The 1,408-nt window shown below is 32.4% G+C and overlaps 1 annotated feature.

The window, feature by feature from the left end:
* Window positions 311–1,054: an enhancer, noted in NCBI's record as "OCT4-NANOG hESC enhancer chr11:49526542-49527285 (GRCh37/hg19 assembly coordinates)". NCBI's record gives its function as "activates a minimal SCP1, AML or CMV promoter by ChIP-STARR-seq in naive H9 embryonic stem cells {active_cell/tissue: H9 hESC(naive)}" and the evidence as "EXISTENCE:reporter gene assay evidence [ECO:0000049][PMID:30033119]".

Below are 1,408 nucleotides of genomic sequence, written 5' to 3'. Positions count from 1 at the left end.
AAGCAGTTTGTGTTTCTTCAGTATGATATATAAGGCAAAAAATGGTGACAGACAATGTTTATTGAATGCTTACCATTTCCTGAATATTGTGATATACTTTTATAAACATCTTAAATATTCACAAAATTGAAGAAAATTACAACTCAGAGAAATTAAGCAAATTCTAAATGACAGTGCTATACAATAGAGACTGACTGAAAATTTTTAAGCAAGAAAATGATGTTACTGTGTATTTATTGTTAGTCCTCTATTATTGACTCCTAAACGTGTTAGTCCTGTATTATTGACTCCTAAAGGAGTTCATAGTACATTAAAGCTATAATGGGCCTTAGAGACCATCTAGCTCAACAATTTAAACTTACACAATAAGGAATTGGAGCTTACAGAAGCACATTAATCTGCTAAGGCCGTACAGATTTGGTGGTAGAGTATGATTATAATCAAGGACTCCAGATTTATCCTGCATCTTTATGCTGTACTTCTTTCATTAACACTCTTTTCCCAGCTTTTTTTTTTTTTAATTTCAATCATCTGTTCAAACCAGTTGCAATGACTCTAACTCTTACCCTCAGGGCATCTCCTTCTTTCCTTTGTTTTTCAAATTTGTCATATCTATTGTGCAGTTTAAAACACAAAAGAAGCTGACAATGCTTTTCCATTACATGGAATGAGAATAGTTGGCATTCTTTCATGCTCCTTTAGTCATTTCAAACAGACTTACTTTCATCCTATTAGAGCTTTTTGACCAAACTCCTGATAATTACCTCATTAAAGTTAACTCTTCTAATAAACTCCCCTGAGAATTGTCAAGAAGGTATTTTTGAGATGGTATTGGGAAAAGATTGTGGACTTAGGAGCCTAGATAGCAGGGCTAATGGTCCTGTTCCATCACCTACAGGTCTAGTGATTAGGACCAATTACTTAATACTTTAGTGAATTAGTGGTGGCATTAAATAACAACCTTGCCAACTTGTTGTATAAAACTCCTACCATGATAAATAGGTATATTTTTGTGTTCAGCACATACTTTAGGAGAAATAAAGTTTTTTCTCTTGAAAAAAATTGTATTTATTTTAAATTTACACATAATACTTGTACATTTTGTGGGGTACAGTATGTTTTAATACATGCATACATTGCATATTGCTGATGCTGTGCAATGTACACATGTACTAAAACATCACACTGTACCCCATAAAAATGTGCTAATTACACATCAACTCAGACATTTATCATTTCTTTTTAGTGAGAACATTCAAAATCCTTTTGTAGCTATTTTGAAATATATAATGTTTTATTGTTAACTATAGTCACCCTAATGTGTAATGCAACACTAGAACTTATTCCTCCTTCATAACTGTAACTTTATACCCATTAACCAACCTCTCCTTATCCTTCCATATCCTTT

The sequence above is a fragment of the Homo sapiens genome, chromosome 11, assembly GCF_000001405.40.
Source record: "Homo sapiens chromosome 11, GRCh38.p14 Primary Assembly".
In the NCBI taxonomy this organism is placed as follows: Eukaryota; Metazoa; Chordata; class Mammalia; order Primates; family Hominidae; genus Homo; species Homo sapiens.
Note: the sequence above shows the minus strand (reverse complement) of the source record. Positions and strands in the feature narration are given on the sequence as shown.